The sequence below is a fragment of the Homo sapiens genome, chromosome 20 (genome assembly GCF_000001405.40).
Source record: "Homo sapiens chromosome 20, GRCh38.p14 Primary Assembly".
Classification (NCBI taxonomy): domain Eukaryota; kingdom Metazoa; phylum Chordata; class Mammalia; order Primates; family Hominidae; genus Homo; species Homo sapiens.
Window position 1 is genome coordinate 46424650 of NC_000020.11, and position 22748 is coordinate 46447397.

Sequence of the window (22748 nt, forward strand, 5' to 3'; positions counted from 1 at the left end):
AGAAGAACCTGGGAGCATTTTAGAAGTGCAAATTCTCAGCCAGCTGTGGTGGCTTACACCTGTAATCCCAGCACTTTGCAGGCCAAGGCAGGAAGATCGCTTGAGCTCAGAGTTCAAGACCAGCCTGCACAACATAGTGAGGCCCTGCCTCTACAAAGACAAAAAAATTAGCCAGGCTCAGTGGTGTGCATCTGCAGTGAGCTGAGCTATTATTCCAACAGTGCAGTCTATCCTGGGTGACAGAGCAAGACCCTGTCTTAAAAAAAATTGCAAATTCTCAGGCTCCCCTCCAGACCTACTGAAGCAGAATCTGCATTTTAACAAGATTCCTAGGTGATCTGTAGGCACATTAAAGTTTGGTACCTGGTTTACATGGTAAGACCTATGTGATGTTCACTGAAGCAGGGCAATGGTTGATGTCAGAGGAGGAAGCGTGGGGTACAGGGTTGCTATGGATCTGTAGCAATACATAAACTGAGTCATATACAAGTATTAAGTTCATTTATTGACAAAGTTACTTAAGCCTATACAACTTCCATTGACTGCAGCTTTTTCTGTCTTCCATTAGCTTTTGAATGACGAGGTCTCCTTTCCATTGTTTTCCAGATAATTTGTAATTTTATTTTTTATTTCCTTTGATCCAACGGTTACCTAACACTGTATTTCTTACACTTAATTTCCAAATCAGTAGCATATTTTGGTAATATTTTAAATTATTTACTTCTCTTTTTATTGGATGATGAATGGAAAAGATAGCCTATAAAATACCTAATTTATTTAATTTTTCAAGATTTTCCTTATGACCCAATAGGAAATAAATTTTGGTAAATACTCCATGTATGCATAAAAATCTATATTCAGTAGTTGAAGAAATACTTATTTGAGTTTGCTGATTCTATTTTTAATCCTTCTACGCATCCATTTTTCCTATTAGAGCTACTGACTTTGAAATAGACATGTTGAAGTCTCCCATCGAAATTGTATTTTTATGAGGCTCTCTTTATATTTCTAATACTTTTTTGCTTTCTATATTTATTTGCTATGTCGTTTGGTGCATAAAGTTTTATGCTCATTAAATCCTCTTCTTAAATTTTGTAGTAATAATATCCCTCTTTATCCAGTTTGGAATTTTATTCCTAAAATCCAACCCATGTGATGTGGATATTGCTACTCAAACTTTTTGTTTGTTTCCAGATCAAAACTAATTTTTGGATCCTGAACACACTGAGCAAGAATATCCGTTGTGGCCCTGAGACCAGCTGCACTGGCTGGGTTGGTAGTGTCTCCCTCTAACCCTCCTTTTAAGTTTCTCCCAGGAAAGATGCCCACGGGAATCCTGGAGTTGTAGCTCCTGGCACCTAAGTGAAAAAGTGGCTCTGTGTGGCAAACGGGCAGACTGTAGTGGACACTTGGTGTACTGCCCAGATTCCCCCTCAAGAGTGAAGGACTTATTTCTATAGCTGCTGGCAGTGTTGCCAGCAAATAGCCATCAGATATCAGCTCTTTTCTGGAAGTGCCTGGGTTGAAGAGTCCAGGCTTACCCAAGGTCACGCCCTCTCCCAAGACAGTTCATGCCTTATTACTGGTGGACATGAAGGCACAAAGCCCCAGCTCCCCTCACTCCAACTTGGGACAACCCTGAAGTGCCATTACAGCTTCAAAGCTCCTCAAGGAGATGGCTGTTGCTTTTATTGAATCTGTATCACAGTCCACTTCCTCACTTTGCCTGATCCTTCTTCCTTCCCTTTCCAAGATGTTGATCCCAAGAGCTCGCCTTAATAAATTTCCTGCATGCACATCTCTGAGTCTTCCTTCTACGGAGGCCAGTTTATGACAATTGGAGGTTGTCCTTATTCTTAGGGGATGTATACTTAAGAGTGAAGAGTCATAACATGGGTAATTTATTTTCAAATTATTCTGGAAAAATGTGTATGCATATATGTATAAAAAGGAGACAGAGATAAAGCAAGTGTGGTAACATCTTAACAACTGGTGAATCTGGATGATTCATATACGGATGTTTATTGTAGCATTCTTCTGCCTTTTCTGAGGATTTGACATTTACAAAATATCAAGGTGAAAACAAAATCCCTTTCCTCTATTTTTAATAGGTGTTTCAGTGGGAACAAAATTAGGCTTGTATATTCAATCTGTATCTTTACCTGGGACCTCTTCATTATTTTTAAACCTTTGTTTTGTTTTTCTAATACAATTATTTAAATCTGTACAGGCATACCTGGTTTTATTGCACTTTCCAGCTATTGTGTTTTTATAAATTGAAGAATTGTGGCAACACTGCATAGAGCAACTCCACCATTTTTTTCTAACACCATGTCCTCACTTCATGTCTCTATGTCACATTTTGGTAATTCTCACAATATTTCAAACTTTTTCACGATGATTGTATCTGTTACGGTGATTTGTGATCAGTAATCTCTGGTGTTACTATTTTAATTGTTTTGGGGTACGAATGTGCCCATATGACAGTGAACTTGATCCATAAATATTATATGTGTTCTGAATGCTCCACTTACCAGCTGTTCCCTTATCTCTATACTTCTCTCCTTGGGCCTCCCTATTCCCTGAGACACAGAATATTGAAATTAGGCCAATTAATGACCCTACAATGGCTTCTGTGTGTTCAAGTGAAAGGAAGTGTTGCACATATCTCATTTTAAATCAAAGGCTAGAAATGATCCCCACAAGCACAAGTAACTAAAGCAAAAATGGACAAATGGGTCACATTAAGTTAAAAAGCTTCTGCCCAGTGAAAGAAACAACAACATGAAAAGACAACCCACAGAATGGATGAAAATACTTGCAAACTATCCACATGACAAGGGATCAATAACCAAAATATATAAGGAGCTCAAATAACTCTATAGGAACAAAATCTAATAATCTAATTTAAAAATGGGCAAAAGATCTGATGAATAGACATTTTTCAAAAGAGGACATACAAATGAGAAGCAGGTGTATGAAAAGGTGCTCAACATCACTGATCATCAGATAAATGCAAGTCAAAACTATAATGAAGCATCATCTCACCCCAGTTAAAATGGTATTTATCCAAAAGACAGACAATAACAAGTGCTGGTGAGGATGTGGAAAAAGGAGAACCCTCATACACTGTTGGTGGGAACGTAAATTAGAACAATTCAGAGGTTCCTAAAAAAACTAAAAATAGAGCTACCATATGATCCAGCAATCCCACTGCCAGGTATATACACAAAAAAATGGAAATCAGTATATTGAAGACATATCTGCATTCCCATGTTTATTGAAGCACTATTCACAATAGCCAAGATTTAGAAACAACCTAGTGTCCATCAACGATGAATTGATAAAGAAAACGTGGTTGATTTATACAATGGAGTACTATTCAGTCATAAGAATGAACGAGATCCTGTCATTTGCAATGACGTAGATGGAACTGGCAGTCAGTGCATTAAGTGAAATAGGCCAGGAACAGAAAGACAAACTTGGCATCTTCTCACTTATTTGTGGGAGCTAAAAATTAAAAGAATTGAACTCATGGAGATAGAGAGTCAAAGGATGGTTACCAGAGGCTGGGAAGGGTAATTGGGAGAGGGGTAGGGGAGTGAGGATGGTTAATGGGTCCAAAAAAATAGAAAGAATGAGTAACACCTGATATTTGACAGCATAACAGGGTGATGACAGTCAATAATAATTTAATTGTACATTTAAAAGCAACAAAGAGTACAATTGGATTGTTTGTAACACAAAGGAAAAATGCTTGAGGTGATGGATACCTGGTTTATCCTGATGTGATTATTACACATTGTATGCTAGTATCAAAATATCTTATGCAGCCCATAAATATACATAACTACTATGTCTCCACAAAAATTAAAAGTTAAAATTAAAAAAAGAGAAATGATTAAGCTTAGTGAGGGAGGCATGTTGAAAGCCAAGAAAGGTCAAAAGCTAGGCATCTTGCACCAAACAGCCAAGTGGTGAATGCAAAGAAAAACTTCTTGAAGGAAATTAAAAGTGCTAATTCAGAACACATGAATGATAAGAAAACAAAAGAGCCTTATTGCTGATACAGAGAAAGTTTGAGTGGTCTGGATAGAAGATCAAACCAGCTGCAACATTCCCATAAACCGAAACCGAATCCAGAGCAAGCCCCTAACTCTCTTCAATTCTATGAAGACAGAGAGGTGAAGAAGCTGCAGAAGAAAAGTTTGAAGTTATCAGAGGTTGGTTTATGAGGGTTAAGGAAAGAAGCCATCTCTATAGCATAAAAATGCAAAGTGAAGCAGCAAGTGCTGATGGAGAAGCTGCAGCAAGTTCTCCAGAAGATCTAGCTAAGATCACTGATGAAGGTGGCTACACTAAAAAACAGATCTTCAATGTAGACAAAACAGCCTTCTATTGGGAGATGATGCCATTAAGGACTTTCGCAGATAGAGAGAAGTCAATGCTTGGCTTCAAAGCTTCAAATGATAGGCTGACTCTCTTGTTAGTAGCTAAGGTAGTTGGTGACTTTAAGTTGAAGCCAATGCATATTTCCCATTTCTCAAGTCTTAGAGCCCTTTAGAATTATGTTACATCTCTTTGGCCTGTGCTCCATAAATGTAACAACAAAGCCTGGATGACAGCACATCTGCTTATAGCAAGGTTTACTGATTATTTTAAGCCCACTGTTGAGAACTGTGCTCAGAATAAAAAAGATTCCTTTCAAAATATTACTGCTCATCGACAAAACACCAGGTCACTCAGAAACTCTGATGAAGATGTACAAGGAGACAAATGTTGTTCCTATCCCTGCTAACACAGTATCCATTCTGTAGCCCATGGATCAAAGAGTAACTTTGACTTTCAAGTCTTATTATTTAAGAAATACATTTTGTAAGGCTATAGCTGCCATAAATAGTAATTCCTCTGATAGGTCTGGGAAAAATACATTGAAAACCTCCTAGAAAGAACTTACTATTCTAGATTACATCAAGAATGCTTGTGATTCAGGAGAAGAGGTCAAAATATCAACATTAATAATAATTTAGAAGAAGTTGATTCCAACTTTTATGGATAACTTTGAGAGACTCAAGGCTTCGGTGGAGGAAGTAACTGCAGATGTGATAGAAATAGCAAGACAACTAGAATTAGAAGTGGAGCCTGAAGGTGTGCCTGAACTGCTGCAATCTCATGAGAAGACTTTAATGAGTGTGGAGTTACTTTTTATGAATGCTCAAAGAGAGCAATTTATTGAGATGGCAACTACTTCTGGGGAAGAGTCTATCAACATCGTTAAAATGACGACAAAGGATTTAGAATATTACATAAATTTAGTTGATAAAGCAACTGCAGGGTTTGAGAGGATTGACTCCAATTTTGAACGTTCTACTGTGGGATAAATGCTATCAAACAGCATCACATGCTACAAAGAAAGCTTTCATGAAAGGAAGAGTTGATTGATGCAGCCAACTTCATTGTTGTTTTATTTTAAGAAATTGCCACAGTCACCCCGAACTTCAGCAAACTACCACTCACATCAGTCAGTAGCCATCAACACTGAGGTAAGACCCTCCCACCAGCAAAAAGATTACGACTCACTGAAAGCTCAGATGATCATCAATATTTTTTAGCAATAAAGTATTTTAAAATTAAGGTATGTACATTTATAGACATAATGCTATTGCCCACTTAATTGATGACAGTATAGAGGAAACATAACTTTTATATGCACTGGGAAACCAAAAAATTCATATGACTCACTTAATTGCAATATTAGCTTTATTGTAGTGGTCTGATACTGAAGTTGCATTATCTCTGAGATATGCCTGTATATCTTCCTTTGAATGCTTCTTCGGTCATAGTTCACAGATTTTTTATTTTTTGTGCCCTCATTGTTATTCATTAGAAATAATTTATAATTTCTACTTTAATTTTTCTTTTGAACCCAATAGATAGTTAAAAGAGTAGGTTTTGAATATTCATGTCTATAGGGGTTTTGTTGGTAATGAGGTTTTTGTTTGTTTGGCTATTCTTTGGCGATTTCTAGTTTTATTGCATTGTGGTCTGTGAACACATTTCTGCCATTTAGAATATAGTGGAATTTCCTCTGAGAATTCTGCGGGGATGGTTGTTGAATACATCTGTGCTGCCTTCATCCTTCAATTTAAAACCAGCTACTGAACCTTTTGTGAGCCAAGCAGCTTCTGGGGTTTAGAGATCTAGTGCATCTCTGGGGTCCAGAAGAAGGGAGTTGGCAGAGCAAGTTTCTGCTTCTGAGCCCCACGACAGCCCGGGGACTGGAGGTGCAGAGCCCAGGAGTAATGGTCAGAAGAAAAGTGAAATCGGGAACACTTGACCTACGGAAATCCAAGGACCTCCCAAGGGAGAGGCTGCAGCTGCCCCCGTGAGCACTCTATGGTCTCATTGTTCCAGCTCATACAAAGCTGTGGGGGAGAACAAAAGTGCTAAATCCTCTCCTCAACTGGGAAAATGCCAGTCTTTGCAGCTGAAGAGACTAGCGGGCAGAGGGAGACCTTTTGGGACCAACCACTTGCCAGCGGACCCAGCAAGTCAAAGACTGTTGCAACATCCATTACTCGAGAGACTGGCCTTGCTCTAGATCCCCAGCAGCTGAACATGGGCCCCAGTGGGTCAGCAAAGGAAAATACCAACCCATCCTGGGGGACCCAGAAGTGAGAAAGTGAAAGAACCAGCATATTGCAGAGAACAACAGCTACAAACCTTCTGGGGGAGAGAGAGGACAGCCTGAACCAAAAACAATGATAACAACAACACGTAAGGAACCACAAATACAGTGTGCATAAACGCACGCATACACACACGCATGCACACACGCGCACACACATGCATGCACACATACACACATGCATGCACACGCACACACGCATGCACACACACACATGCACACACACACACATGCACACACACACATGTTCTGGATCTAAAGAATCTCATTTTCAGACTAAAAATTTCAAGAGATGAATCAAAGGATTGCAGAGTCACTGTTGAAACCTGACCTAGAATGCCAAATGGAGTAATGAAACAAAACACAAATCAAAAATGCAAAGAGAGGAAAATTATGAGGTGAAATAAACAGTTTGAGGAAATGATGCAGGCAATCAAATACTTGCATATTTGGATTATTCTATGTTGGAATTATTATTATTAGGATAATAGAAATTTGTAAAATAAAGCAGATGGAAGACAGGCAATAATTAAACAAATAATAGAGGAAATTGTCCTTGAAAATTTTCCAATAAAGACTTGATCTGAGATTTGAAGGACCCACTGAATTCCAAACAGAACTTACACAAAATAATACTCATCTTTAGCCATGTCCTGAAAACAATGACTGAAATCTCAAGTGTTAATATAAAAGCTTACTCATTTCTAGAGAGGGAAAATAAGTAACTTACAAAGAAACAATGAGATGTCATTTGACTTCTCATCTGCATCCGTGGAAGCAAACTATGCTGTAAGTATATCTACAGATTTCTGAGAGAAGAGGAATCCTAAAAGAAAGACTAATAGTAATGTCAGACTGTAAGTCCTGAAGGATCTCAGCCTAGTATTTAGGGAAGGGGTGGAAGAAGATGGAAGGTAAAAGTGTTTCAATATCTTTGCGGGCTGAGGATATAGAAAAATACTACAAATAGGTCTCTTTAATGTGGGGAAATAGATGCTTTTCTCACATAATGGAGGATTATATAATTGCAATTGTGTATTTTATTCTGAATGTGAAAAAAATACAGATAACCACTCATGGCATGGAAAAGTATAGCGCTTCTCTAAGAAACCTATAAGAATCTATAAGAAAATCTAAAAGAAAAAAATCTACAAGAAAAAAAAAATCTAATAAATGGCCATGTTACCAAGCCATCAAAAACAAGAAAAAGAGAGAAAGGACAAAGTAAAATAAATAGTGAACCTGAGTTAAAATGGAAGAAATGAAATAAATTATATCCAGGTTTACACAAACCTCAAATGAGCCGAATTCTCCCATTAAAACTCAAAGTTCATTAAATAGGATTGAAGAACAAAAACCAGCCATATGCTGTTGTTAGAAATACTATATCAGTCAGAATTGGTGTAACAGAAACCCAACTTACAGTGGTTTAAATATGTAAGAAATTTAATTTTCCTTGCAGCAGAGAGCTGCCGATATAGGCAGCTGCTCAGAAAACCTCTACCCTTTTCCAGCTTCCCTCACCCTCAGCACCTCTGCTGGGCTTGGTAGCTTACCTGATGGTGTGACCCCAACCTTCATTCCTAAGCGATCTGAGCCCTTCTTGGTCACCATGCCTCTCATGTATGAGGCCATGATGGATGTACGTGTCCATTTACCATCAAAACTGGGCACCTGATCCATATACCAAGCTCAGGCTCCTTCCTCCTCTGTTGGCTGGTCATAAAGGACCCTTCTCTCCACCCCATGCAGCCATCAGTATGAGCTGAGAGCAAGACAACAGGTGGATGAGATGGGGGTCTGGTTACCTGCTCACGCAGCTCGCTTATGCCATCTGGTCCTCCTTCTGCTCAATCCTCCATGTCCCACTTCTATTCTGGCATGCTGCTGGGCCCACCTGATCTTATGACTTGGTTGATCTGACAAATATCTGACTCATTGTGGATAGTTTTGGCTGCACAATCGTTTGCTTTCCCGTGATCGGGTGTTCCCTCCCTCCGGGGCCAAGTAGCCCTCAGGAGCTTGTGATGGTTAATTTTAGGTGTCAACCGGACTGGGTTAAGGAATAGCTAGAGAACTTGTAAAGCATCACTTCTGGGTGTGTCCGTGAGGGTGTTTCCAGAGGACAGTGGCCTGGGACTTTGTGGACTGAGAGGAGGAGATCTGCCCTCATTATGGGCAGGCACCATCCAATCAGCTGGCACCCGCATAGAACAAAAAAGGCAGAAACAAAACAAAACAAAACAATTTTCTCTCTCTCTCTCTCTCTCCCTCCCTCTCTTCTTCTCTCTCCTGGAGCTGGAACACACTTTTTTCTCCTGCCTTTGGACATCGGAACTCCAGGCTCTCCAGGCTTTCCAGACTCTGGACTTAACAGCAGTCTCTGGACTTACAACAGCAGCCCCCTGGATCCTCAAGCCTTTGGCCTCAGACTAATAATTATATCAGCAACTTCCTGGTTCTGAGGCTTTTGGGCAGCCATGCTACTAGCAACCCAGCAGTTCCAGCAGAAGGCCTGTTGTGGGACTTCTCAGCCTCCATGAGCATGTGAGCCAATTCCCTTAATACATCTATCTCTTTCTAAATTGATTTATTGATCTAGAAAGATTGATCCTATTGATTCTGTCTCTCTGGATAACTCTAATACAGAGCTATATATCAAAGAGTGTGTAATTCTCTGATGCAGATGACATGACTTGCTCCAGAACCCTGGGGATCTGAGTTGTGATTTTCCCAGTGAGACTTGCCATATACTTTATTCAATGTCTTTTCTGACCACCAATATCTCTAATACCATAGGGCCTGCTAGGTCATGTGGCCAAAGCTTCAAGGATACCTGCTTTGCAGGCTGGACCTGCTGCAGAGCTCTTTTCTACTCTTGGTGCCTCTCAAAGGCAGCAGCTTTTCCTTTTACCAGATATTTGGATCAGAGCAGTATTCTCATGTTTGGAATGTGCTGCCTCTAGAACCCAAAGAAGTCTATAGGCATGGCACTTTCTTCTTGGTGGTGATGGGAGATGAAAGATAGAAAAGTTTTGCCCTTACTTTTGAGGGAACGTTCTAGCATGCTTCAGAACATGGAACTCAATTTTTTAACCTATTTGGAAGTCCTTGCACTTTTGAAGAGTTTAGTCTTGTACCCTCTGAAGTGCTTGTGTCTTACCAAGTCCTACATGTTCTAGCCACTTCACCCGGTCCAATTAGCATATGTCATCAATAGAGGGGACCAGTGTGATATTCTGTGGATGTCCAGCCAGTTCAGGCCTCTTCATATTATGTCATGACAGCACCAAACAGTTGAGATAACCCCTGGGAAAGACTGTGTATGTGTACTGTTGTCCACTCCACCAAATGTGAACTGCTTCTGATACTGTTTTTTTGATAGGGATGGAAAAGAACACATTAGCTGCATTGATGGCTGCATGCCAGGTGCCCAAGGCTGTGCTCATCTGCTCTAGCAGAGGTACCACACATGGCACAGAAGCTGCATTGAGGCCACTGTTTGGCAGAGTTTGCAGTAGTCCACTGTTATCCTCCAGAATATGTCTGGGTTTTGCAGGGGCAAGACTGGTGAATTACACAAGCTATGAGTGGACTGCCACCTCAGCATCATTTAGGTTTTTAAGGATGGCTCTGGTCTCTAATATTCCTCTTTGGATGGATGTGACATTTTAAAAAGTGTACTCATTTGGTTGGGTTGGGGTGTTGGGGGCTATTTCAGAGGCTTCCACTGGTCTTCTTTACTCTGATAGCTCCTACCCCATGGGCCAAGGGACCAGCATGGGAGCTGTGCCAATTGCCAACATGTCTATTCCAATTGGGGACTGGGGAGATGGCCATGGGGTTGGCCCATGGGTCTAGTGAACCCGCTGTAACCCAGACTTCGGCCAGGATCCCATTTATTTCCTGCCCTTCATATGCCCTCGATTTAATAGGGAGGCTACGATGATGCTTTGGGTTCCTGGGTAAATGTCAATCTGGACCCTGTGCCAATAGTTCTCGATGTTTGAGTGTTCCTCTTTCTCCAGCGTGTGGCCATCTGTCATGGCATCACAGGGTCCTCCTAGGAAGCCAGCCTCTCCTTCAATTCATGTGCTTTAAACACTAAAACTGGTTCTGGTCTGGAAACTAAGTGAAGGAGTGTGACTTTTTTTTGAGGAGTGATCACCCTCAACTACCTGACCAGGAATGTTAAATTGTAGAAAATGTGTATCTTAGTGGTCAGACATTTCTATGTATAATATGCACAAGAAAAAGACTCTCTAGGCATACAGCAGACTGTCAGCCATACCTACCTCTCTGTGGCAATATTATGGGCCATTTAACTTTATCCTTTTTTGTTTGTTTGTTTTTTAAGACAGAGTTTCACTCTGTTGCCCAGGCTGGAGTGCAGTGGCACGATCTCAACTCACTGCAACCTCTGCCTCCTTGGTTCAAGTGATTCTCCTGCCTCAGCCTCCCAAGTAGCTGGGACTACAGATGCACACCACCATGCTTGGCTAATTTTTGTATTTTTAGTAGAGGCGGGATTTCACCATGTTGCCCAGGCTGGTCTCAAACTCCTGACCTCAGGGTATCTACCTGCCTCGGCCTCCCAAAGTGCTGGGATTACAGACATGAGCCACCACGCCCTGCCTAACTTTATTCTTTATACTGAAGGAGTTAAAAATATGCCACTCTGGCATAGTGACTATTTTGAGTTAAAGGCACTTGAAAAACAGCAGGTACAAGAAGATTGCCTTGATCTTCCTTCTGTTACTTAAAAGCAGGACATAAAATTCCCATGTGAAAGATGCCCTCCCTTTAACAGAAAGAAAGTAACATTCTTATCAAGGACAGGAAGGTGAGGTCGTGGGAAACCTTTACACACAGACCCGGTTCAACTAATTCCTATCTTCCTAGTCACTTCTCCACCTGATCAATGACCCTAGCCCCAGTACCTTTGCCTCGTCCCACTTTCATGACTTATGATACTTTGTCCATTTCAGTTTATAAGCATTCATCTCTAACAGCGTCTTTGGGCCTTTGTTTCCTTATGAAGGCTCCTGTGCAGGTAAAACTTGCATTAAATAACTGTGTGTGCTTTTCTCCTGTTGATCTGTCTCATGTCAATTTCATTTTCAGGCCCAGTTAGAAAAGAACTCTAAAAGGGTAAGGTAAAATTTTTCCTCTCCTACAATACTTTAATGTATTTTTCACATTTTTATATTATAGCAAATATATTCTGTCATGCCAGAGATTACATATGTAATATGTGTTTTCCATCCTCTGGAGAGATGTTCCAGAAAATTGTCTTGGCCTAACTGGATGTGGTTGTCAACTCCCTGCTCTCTGAAGGATGGATATGAATATTTGACATCTCTTAAGAAGTCTTCCTAGGAAAGAATCCTTTTGAATTACAGAAAGTGGCTCCCTCCCCCAGAGAGGCCCCACTGCCTGGGGAAAGAGACTTTAATCAGCCCCTTTGTTAAAAAGTCAAACAAACGCTTGCCATAAAACCCAGTGATTCTACTCCTAGGTACTCACTCAAGAGAAATAATTTTAAAAAATTAATCAGATGTGGTGATCTACACCCGTAGTTCCAGCTACTTGGGAGGCTGAGGTAGGAGGATCATTTGAGCCCTGGAGGTTGAGGCTGCAGTGAGCTGTGACCCCATCACTGCGTTCCTGCCTGGGCAACAGAGTGAGATCCTGTCTCTAAAAAACCAATAATAAAAAAAGAGAAGTGAGCACATATGTCCATACAAAAACTTATACATTCATAGTCATAGCAGCTTTATTCACGACAGCCCCAAGCTGGACACAACCCAAATATCCACCAAGTGAATGAAAGAATAAATTGGGCTATGATTCCACTTATATAACACCCTCTAGAAAATGCTCACTAATCTAGAGTGACACAAAACAGATCAGTGGTTCCTTGGGGATTGGGGGATGGGAGGGAGGGAGTATGAAGGAGCAAGAGGAAACTCTGGGGTTGATGAGAGCAGAGCACTGGAACTTAAGTTCTCCCTGGGGTGGGGGTGAGGTGCGTGGGATGTTTTAAACAATGACAGGACCTGCAGTTAGAACTGCTGAGGTTGGACAGTGTCATGCGTACCCCACGTTCCAGGAAAGACTTATGTGTCCCTAACTCCAAGTGTGTGACAATGATGGTATCTTCTCTTGATTCATCTTCCCTCATTTCAGTGTTGCTCAACGCTTATTTTTAAACTTATAGCTCCTCCAAGGAACCATTTTACATTTTTTTTTAATTGTCCACCTCCCCATGAAAATATAATACTGGCCAGGTGTGGTGGCTCACGCCTGTAATCCCAGCACTTTGGGAGGCCGAGGTGGGTGGATCATGAGGTCAGGAGATCGAGACCATCCTGGCTAACACGGTGAAACCCTGTCTCTACTAAAAATACAAAAAATTAGCTGGGCGTGGTGGCGGGTGCCTGTAGTTGCAGCTACTTGGGAGGCTGAGGCAGGAGAATGGCATGAACCTGGGAGGCGGAGCTTGCAGTGAGCTAAGATGGCGCTGCTGCACTCCAGCCTGGGTGACAGAGCGAGACTCTGTCTCAAAAAAAAAAAAAAAAAAAAAAAATATATATATATATATAAAATACTGCAGATATACTGTGTGTCTGTTTACGTACTGTGGTCTCCTGGAGGGCCACAAATAGACGTAACAGCTAAGATGTTGGGGGCATCCTAAGAACCAATGTTCATTCCTGTGGGGGCTCTCTTGACCTGTTGAGAAATCATGACTTATTCCCATCAGAAAAAAATCCAAGTAGGCAGGGAAAAAGCAGTATTGTAATGAAAATGTAAAGCTATCTGATTTGACTCTTTGATGGAAGCGTAGTGACACACATAACTGCAAAAAAGTGTTTCGCCAGAGCTATGCATTGATGTAGGTTCATGAAAATGGGAGCCCGAAATGAGGCAAAGGGGTTGGCAGGCAGAGAGCTTTCAACCCAGGCAGAGAAGTGGCAGAGTCTTTTCTGTGCAACTAGAGCTCTCTGCTGGGCATTTCAGGAACATCCTCCAATAAATTGAATGCAGCCCATTCATTTAGCAGCTGTTTGCCCAGCATCCATCACAGGCCGTGCACTGAGAGCTAGGCTTGGGTTTGTGGCCCAGCAAAGTTTAATAACTGGGTCAGAACCACACAGTGGTGAGAAGTCACAATGGCATTCAGAGTCACTTTTCTCTGACTCCAAAGCCCACAGTCCCCTCCTCTGGAGTTCCCAAGCCAGGTTCTTACTGGCTTTAGAGGGGAGTCCCCTCCCTGGCCTCTGAGACAGAAAGGAAGATGAGGGGCAGGTAGGAGTAGGGTAGAAGTTTGGGATATTTAGGGCATTATCACCTGATGATTTCCCTTTTCTCCTAGAAGTTGGAGCAGAAGAGGAGTGAGAATGACTTGGGTTAAGTCTTGCGGTGCTGGCTTTTTGCAAAGGGCTGTTCCACAAAGACTGAGAAAAAAACTGAGGCTCTGTAGAAACAGAGGCAGAAGTGGCAGAAGAAAATCTTGATGCTTCCCCAGTAAATTCCCATCAATTGTAGAGGTTAAAGAAAATGTGGTACATATACACCATGGATTATGTAGCCATAAAAAGGAACAAGATCCTGTCCTTTGCAGGGACATGGATGGAGCTGGAGGCCATTATCCTTAGCAAACTAACGCAGGAACAGAAAACCAAATACTGCATGTTCTCACTTATAAGTGGAAGCTAAGTGATGAGAACACATGGACGCATGGAGGGGAAAAACACACACTGGGGTGGGGGTCAAAGGGCAGAGGTGGGAAGAAGGAGAGCATCAGGAAGAATAGCTAATGGATGATGGGCTTAATACCTGGGTGATGGGATGCTCTATGCAGCAAACCACCACGGCACATATTTACCTATGTAACAAACCTGCACATCCTGCACCTGTACCCCTGAACTTAAAATAAAAGTTGGAAATAAAAGAAAGAGATACTCAGGTAAGACTAAACCACACATGAGGAATTGGAACCAGGGTCCTGTGAGTCTAACTCGCATGGCTCAGGAGGGTTGGTTCCCCTAGGGAGCTGCTCCTTCCTCTTGGTGCAGTGTAGACAGGGTGTTAGGAAAGAGCCCCAGGCTCACTGAGGATGGCCAGGAGTAAACCTGCCATGGCTCTAGAGGTCCCCAAGGCAGGCAACGGATGAGAGCAAGACAGTTTCTCACTCCAAGCGCAGCAAGCAGCATGTGCATCTGCAGAGCTGCGCTGGTTTCCCTGCCCTCAGGTCCCACAGGCGACGCCATGGGCTCGGATGGATGCTACCCACTCCATGGGCTGCCGTGAAGCTGTGGAACTCAAGGCCAAAGGTTCAGCATACTTTGAGAAAGCAGCAAACACTGTGGCAAGCAGCAAATAAGCCAGTCTCTCCCCTAGGGAGCAAGCAGTGACACAGGAAACACACGGAGGTCTCCTCACTCAGTGTACAGGGGCCTGCGTGACTAGCTGCTAGTTGTTTATTACCTGTGAGCAACCGGAGACATTATGAAGACAGCCTGAGGTCTCATCCAGGGGCAAGGGAAGAACTAGCCCTATAGAACAGATTTAAAGGGACAGTGGAAAATAAAAATAAAGCTGCTTTATAATTTTATACCATGAGTACCATGAGTCATGTTTGGTCAGGACATGGCTGGGACAGCCTTGCTGGGAAGCAGTGGGTGATGTGGTTCCTCGCCATGGATGAGCACCCTAGTGGGCTAAGGTGCACTAAGTCAGTGCCTAGGGTCCACGCGAGTAGTATCCATGGAACCCCATGCAACACCAGTGCCAAGGACCAGTTTCTCCCAGGAGCAGGAGGCAAGATAATTATTGAGACAATCTCTACCAAGATGGGATGGAGAAACAGCATTCTCTCCCCACCACTGCCTCAGCAGTGCATCTGTGCACCCCTCCGTCCCCCAAGTTCAGCATTCATCCTAAAGAGGAGGAGGTGAAAGGAGAAAAAACAATTCTGACTGTGTCTGAGTTCTCCATCTGAAAAGACTCAGAAGTCTCTGAATTTGATTTAGTTTATCAGTATGGGACTAGATTAGGCCTTCTTCATAAAGCAGAATGAGGATGCAGAGTCAGACATGCAGCTGCTTGCATAACTAGCTACTAGTTGTTTATTACCTAAGAGCAATCATAGAGGTTATGGGGACTGCCTGCCTGAGGTCCCATCCAGGTGCAGGGCGAGGGCTAGCCCTATTGTACAGATTTAAAGGAATAATGGAAAATACCACACCAATTGCACTCCTAGACATGTATCCCAGAGAAATGAAAATTTATGTTCACTCCAAAAGATGGACATGAGTGTCCATAGCAGCTTTATTTGTAACAGCCAAAACTGAAACAATCTAGATGTCCTTCACTGGGCAAATGGTTGGTTAAACGAAGTGGTGCACACGCACTGGGGAATACCACTCAGTGATAAAAAGGAAAGTCATGTTGTGGAAAGTCATTTTGGGGGGCCATGATTTTGAAAATCTGTATTCACTACAAACATAAGGTAGATGCCTCAGTGCTGTAGGTGATTTATTTCTTTTCTTTTCCTCTTCCCTTCTCCATCCCAGTAGTAACAGCTAACCCACATTGTGCGTGGATCATTGCCAAGATCCCTTTTTAATATATTAAATTTCATTTTTAGATAATTGTAGATTCACATGCATTTGTATGAAATGATACAGGGAGATCCTGTGTACCCTTAACCCAGTATGCTCCAGTGGTAACATCTTGCAAAACAATATCACAGCCAAGATATTGACAATGATACAGTCAGGATACAGAACATGTCAATCAGCACCAGCATCCCTCATGGTGCCCTGTTGTAGCCACCCTCCCTTCCTTCCAATCACACCCCCTCTTTAGCTCCTGCAACAACTTATCTGTTCTCCATTTGTAAAATTTTGTCATTTCAAGAATGCTATATAAACAGAATGATACTGAGATGGGAACAGCACTGGGTGGTCGCAGGAGGATGGAAAAACTCAAAAAAGAACTAGCCAAAGGCAGGGTGCGGTGGCTTATGCCTGTAATCCCAGCACTTTGGGGGCAGAGGCGGACAGATCACTTGAGGTCAGGGGTTCGAGACCAGCCTGGCCAACATGATGAAACCCCTGCCCCTACTAAAAATACAAAAATTAGCCGGGCGTGGTGGTGGGTACCTGTAGTCTCAGCTACTCAGGAGGCTGAGGCAGGAGAATCGCTTGAACCTGTGAGGCGGCAGTTGCAGTGAGCTGAGATCATGCCACTGCACTCCAGCCTGGGCAACAGAGTGAGATTCTGTTTAAAAAAAAAAAAGGAAGGAAAGAGAAGAAAGAAAGAAAGAAAGAAAGAGAGAGAGAGAAAGAAAGAAAGAAAGAAAGAAAGAAAGAAAGAAAGAAAGAAAGAAAGAAAGAAAGAGAGGGAGAAAGAAAGAAAGAAAGGAAGGAAAGAAGGAAGGAAGGAAGGAATCAGTCAAAGAAACAAGAACTAGGCAAAGAAACCATGGCATAACAGAAAACCCAAAATAAGGGAAAGAAAATGGCTAAAACTCTGGTCAGGGTGACAATGTCCATGACTCTTCCAGGCAAAACCAAGTAAGGCAGAAAGAGGGTAATAACTGGAGTGGGGGGGTGTATCCCTGAAATCCCCTCCTTTTCCAGGATATTCCACCCCTTAATTAAAGAAACACTCATAAAATTAGACACCCAAACTCCATTACTTGTGACTTATTCTCTCAAGCAGGCTCACACTTCTCTCTTAAGTGTGTACTTTCAATTTGCAATAAAAGCTTCTTGCCTTTGGCCTTATTCTGACTCATCCCTGAGCTCTTTCTTGTGATGGTGCCAATAATCTGGACACCAGCTGGAGCTGGGGCCTTACTGGCATCTGGAGACCCTCCTGAGCCCTTGAGCACCAATACAGTATGTAACTTTTTTGACTCAGCACAATTCTCTGGCGATTCATCCAGGCTGTTGCATGTATCAGTAGCTCATTCCTTTTGATCACTGAGTGGCATTCTATGGTATCCACGCACCACAGTTTGTTTAACCCAGTGAAGGGCATCTAGATTGTTTTCAGTTTTGGGTTATTACAAATAAAGCTGTTAGGTACATCCATGTCTATTTTTTAGAGTGAACACAAATTTTCATTTCTCTGGGATAAATGCCCAAGATTGAAATTGCTGGTTCTTATGGTTGTAGTTGCGTAGTTTTTAAAGAAATTGTCAAACTGTTTTCCAGAGTGGCGGTACCATTTTACATTTTCATTAGCAATGTACGATGGTCTCGTTTCTCCACATCCTCACCAGCATTTGGTGTTGTCACTATTTTTTATTTTAGTCATTCTGATGGGGATGCAGTTATAGCTCATTGTGTTTTTAATTTGCACTTCTCTAATGGATGTTAAACATCTTTTCATGTGCTTACTTACTATCTATATATCTTTTTTGATAAAATGTCTTTTGCCCATTTTCTAATTTGATTTTTTTTTTCTGTTAAGGTTTGAGAATTCCTTATATCAGAGGATATATAATAATATTTGCAAACCATTTATACAACAAAGTACTGGTACATTTTAGGTACTAGTTCTTTGTTATATGAATGGTTTGCAAATATTTTCTCCCAGTGTGTAGCTTGTCTTTTCATCCTTGTAGCAAGGTCTTCTGAAGCACAAAAATTTTAATTTGATGAAGTTCAATGTTTCCTTTTATGGATTGTGCTTTTGTTGTCAATTCTTTGCCTCACTATCTAGATCCCAAATATTTTCTCTTATTTTTTTTGAAAGTTTTATCTCTTATAATTTAAATCTGAGATTGATTTCAAGTTAATTTTAATGTAAGGTGTGAGACCTAGGGTGAAGTTCTGTTCTTTCTCTCTTTCTTTTCTTTCTTCTTCTTCCTTCTTTTTTCTTTTTTTGCTCATAGATGTCTTACTGTTCCAGCACCACCTTTTTTGTTGAAAAGACTATCCTTTGTCCACTGAATTGCTTTTGCACTTTTGTAAAATGTCAGTTGGACATATTTGTGTGGGTCTATTTCTGGATTCTTTGTTATATTCCATTGATCTATGTGTCTATCCATCCTCCAATACCACATAGTCTTGATTACTGGAAACCGATTCCTCCCATTTTATTATTCTTTTTCAAAATTATGTTAGCTATTCCAGTGCCTTTGCCTTTCCATACAAACTTTCAGATGATGTTGCCTGTATCTACAAAAAATCCTGCTGAGATTTTGATAGTGTTACTAGGGCAGCCCCAGAGATACAGCCGAAAAAGCTCATTATTTTCTTAAACAGTAGATAACTGAAAAAACTCATTTTTTTTCTTAAATTTTTTCTATTTCTTTATCTATAGGTAAGCTTGCTTAAAAGAACTCCAGATGGCCCGGGAGCTGCAGGACCCTTTGCCAATTATCAGAGGAAGATAAGGCCTGTGTGAAACCGGGACAAACCTGAACCAGCGACCCCGTGTTACCTTTAGATCATTAACATATCATCATAATGCTAAAACCTCACCCATAGAAGATAATTGCTGCCATTTTCTGAATATACATTATATGAAGAAGCATGTTCATGATCTGCACCTGCACATCTGGAGTTCCTCCCCATACATGTTTACGTACCTCCCTGCCCCACATCTAACTCCTTAAAATCCCCCAGCTTCTCATATCTCAGGGAGAAGGAGTCTTTAGAGAAAGAGCTCCCTCCTCCATTCCTGGCCAGGAATAAAACCTGCTTGCCTTTTTTCCCAATTAGGTGTTACAGTAGAACTCAGTTACCCTGTAACAATAAGAATTGCATTAAATCCTTATATCAACTTGGGAAGAATTGACAGCTTTACCATATTAAGTCTTCTAATCCATAAATAAGTATGTTCATCCATTTTTTTAGATTTTTGAAATTTCTTTCATCAGCATTTTGTAGTTCTTTGCCTCACTATCTAGATCCCAAATATTTTCTGTTTTTTTTTTCTGAAAGTTTTATCTCTTACAATTTAAACCTGAGTAGTTCTCAGCATGCAAGCCCCATACATGTTTTGTTGGATTTAAATTTAAGTACTTTGGTTTTTGATAAATTGTAAGTGCTACTGTATTTTAAGTTTCAGTGCCCATGTGTTCCTTGCTGGTATAAAGAAATACAACATATTCCTGCAGTCTAGCTGAAGTCACTTATCAGCTCTAGGAGTTTCTGTTTTTTGTTTTATTTTTGGTAGATCTTTGAGATTTCCTACTTTGATAAGCATGTTATCCACGAATAGGGACAGTTTTATTACTACCTTTCTGATCTGTATGCCTTTTATTTCCTTTTCTTACCTTATTGCATTGGGTAGAACTTCTAACACTGTTTAACAATAATGGTAAGAGCAGTCATCCTTGCCCTTTTCCTCTTCTCAGGGGTACAACCATTCAGTCTTTCACTGTTAAGTATGATGCTGGCTGTGGAGTTGTTATAGATGCTCTTTAACAAGTTAGGACAAATTCCCTCTATTTCTCTTTTTCTGAGCATTTTTAAAACCATGAATGGGTATTTTGTGAAATGCTTTTTCTGTATTGATTGGTAAGATCAATTTTCTTTTGTATCCAGTTAGTATGTTGGATTATGTTGACTGATTTGTGAATAGTAAAACTGCCCTGCATTCCTGCAGTAAGCTTCGCTGTGTTACAAGATCTTTGGGGTGTTGCTTTTCTGGCCAGAAACCTCTGTGGCCAGTGGTGCCTTTGCCCAAGTTTTGTTTGGGCTCACTGGGCTCATTCCGCCCACTCGGCCTGGCAGGCTGTGCTCAGCTCATGCTACCAGCCTGGACCCCATGTCTGCCAAAGGCAAGTCAGGCATGGAGTGGCAAGGGGTGTGTGAGTGAGCGTGGGGTCTGGCCACTGTGCAGTCAGACATGTCAGCTGCTGCAGTGGGGTGGGCAGCTCCAGGTGCTGGCACAGGCACTAGTCCTCTGTGAGGCTGTGGCTGAGCCAGGCACACTGCACGCAGCTTCCACAGCTGGTACTGGGGAACAAAGTGGTGCCTGGAGGCTTGGAGATGCCAGGAACCACAGGGCTCCCAAGAAAGAGTCATAGCCCTGGCTTGGGGAGCTCCCAGGTCTGGGCTTCCCGAAGGGCCATAGCTATTCTTTCTTTCTCTTCACCCTCAATGTAGTGAGCAAGGGGCATGTTTCAACCCTGTTTGTGTTACAGCTCTTTTAGCCCTACCATTCAATGGGTCCCAAGTTCTTGTCCTATAACCAGGAAGAATGAGGTACCCAGACAAGTGGAGGGTGAGCAAGATGAAAAGGAGCTTTACTGAGCGACAGAACAGTTTGGAGGAAACCCGCAGTGGGTAGCTCCTTTCCACAGCCAGGGTGTCCTGATGAGTGTTCAGCTCCTAGCAAAGAGGAGGCCCTGGAGTGGGAAGCTCCTCTTTGCATGCAGGTGGTCACATTGTCTCTGCAGCTCTCAGCAGAGAGGAGGCCCTGGAGTGGGTAGCTCCTCTCTGCTGTTGGTCATCCTAATGTCTGCTCAGCTCTGGTTGAGCGCAGGGGTATTATGGGCTTCAGAGGGGGGAAAGTGTATGCCAACTGGTCCATGGGCAGGCCCAGAAAAGGCACCACAAGCTCCCACTCTGGTCTGTGGGGCTGGCAGCCCGACGCCAGCCTTCAGGCCCTCCCTGGCCTGAAGGTGGGGCCTCACTGGGGACCTGCCCCCTTCTGCCCAGGAGCCCATCTGCCTCCTGCCACTGCACATGGCACCCAGGCTGCTCACAGCAAGGGGCACCTACAGGCCAGGGCAAGCCGCCCTCAACTTCGTCATTGTGTATACTTTTTTTTACATTGTTGAATTCTACTTGCTAATTTAAAAAAATGTTGCATCTATATTCATGATATTAGTCTTTTGTTTTTTGTACTATCTTTTTTTTTTGGTTTGAGTATCAGATTTAGTACTAGCTTCATAAAATAAATGGGAAAGTCTACTCTCATCTTCAATTTTCTGGAAGAGATTTTGTAGAATTAGTGTTAATTCTTTTTTAAACTTTTGGTAGAATTGTCCAGTGAACTCTCCTGGTCTAGGAGCTGTTTTTAAATTTTAGTTTTAAAATTACAAATTCAACTTTTAAAATTCCATTTCATACTGGGTGAGTTGTAGTTTTTGAGGAATTGGCCTGTTTAATTTAAGCTGTCAAATTTATGTGGGTAGAGTTGTTTGTAGTATTCCCCTACTATCCTTCTGATGTACACAGAGCCTGTAGTGATATCCCATTTCATCCTTGATGTTTCATTCCGTTTCACCCTCTTTCTTTTCTCTCCTTATTACTGGTTGTGGGAATGGGAATTCCAGCTTCTCCCTAGGCCTCTACTAAGACCTCCCTGACTTGGGGGACAGTTGGGTGGGGCGGCTCATGACTGCTCCCCAAGGGGCCTCCACTGACACAAGGGGTGGTGGCCTCATTACCACTAGTTGGTGGTGAAAGTCCTGATCCCCCTCTGGGTTTTCTGGTACACTGCCCCAGCAGAGCAGAGAGGGGCACCTCATGACTGCTGGATGGGAGTGGAAGTCCAGACTCCCCCACTGTCTTCACTGATATTGCAGGGAGCCCATGGGGAGAGTTGGGGTGCCTCTTTACAGCCTGGTGTGGGTGGAATTCTAGGATCTCCACCTCTGCCTTTGCTTGTGTGAGTGTGGGTAGGGCCACAGTCTTTCTGTGGTGTTCGGCTGGAGTAGAGAGGTTATTGTCTCAAGGTTTTCTGTCTCGTAAGGCTGCCCATTTTCTGCTTTCTGTTTTGTTTTTGCTTTGTATAGAGGGAGTAGGCTTTTGATGGGGCTTTTCCCCCCATCTCAAACACTAGAATTTCCAGGTCGCGAGCTTCTTCAGTTCTAAGTCTGGGATATATGAGGCAAAATGAAAGCCAGGAGAATGCACTATGCGGTCCCAAGTTTCCTAGCTGGTCTGCCTTCTTTTCTCAACTTTTCAGAATATTTTTATACTTGCTTTACATACAAACTAAATCTACTGAAAAAATACAATAATCAAAATAAATGGATGGGCTCAATAGCCAATAGAGGAGACAGAGGAAAAAAAAATCA

The 22748-nt window shown here is 42.1% G+C and overlaps 1 long non-coding RNA gene across 1 annotated transcript in view, besides 1 other annotated feature; it reads left to right on the forward strand.

Annotated features, from left to right (window-relative positions):
* LOC105372633 (uncharacterized) overlaps positions 1-20322 on the forward strand; it is a 38193-nt gene extending 17871 nt beyond the window's left edge. Inside the window, exons 3-4 of the long non-coding RNA NR_146919.1 lie at positions 8987-9235; positions 19034-20322. This is a non-coding gene — a long non-coding RNA (uncharacterized LOC105372633). The remainder of the gene's footprint in view (positions 1-8986; positions 9236-19033) is intronic.
* Positions 13600-13659: an enhancer, noted in NCBI's record as "active region_17974". NCBI's record gives its function as "activates an Ori minimal core promoter by ATAC-STARR-seq in GM12878 lymphoblastoid cells {active_cell/tissue: GM12878}" and the evidence as "EXISTENCE:reporter gene assay evidence [ECO:0000049][PMID:35858748]".
* Positions 20323-22748: the final 2426 nt, after the last annotated feature.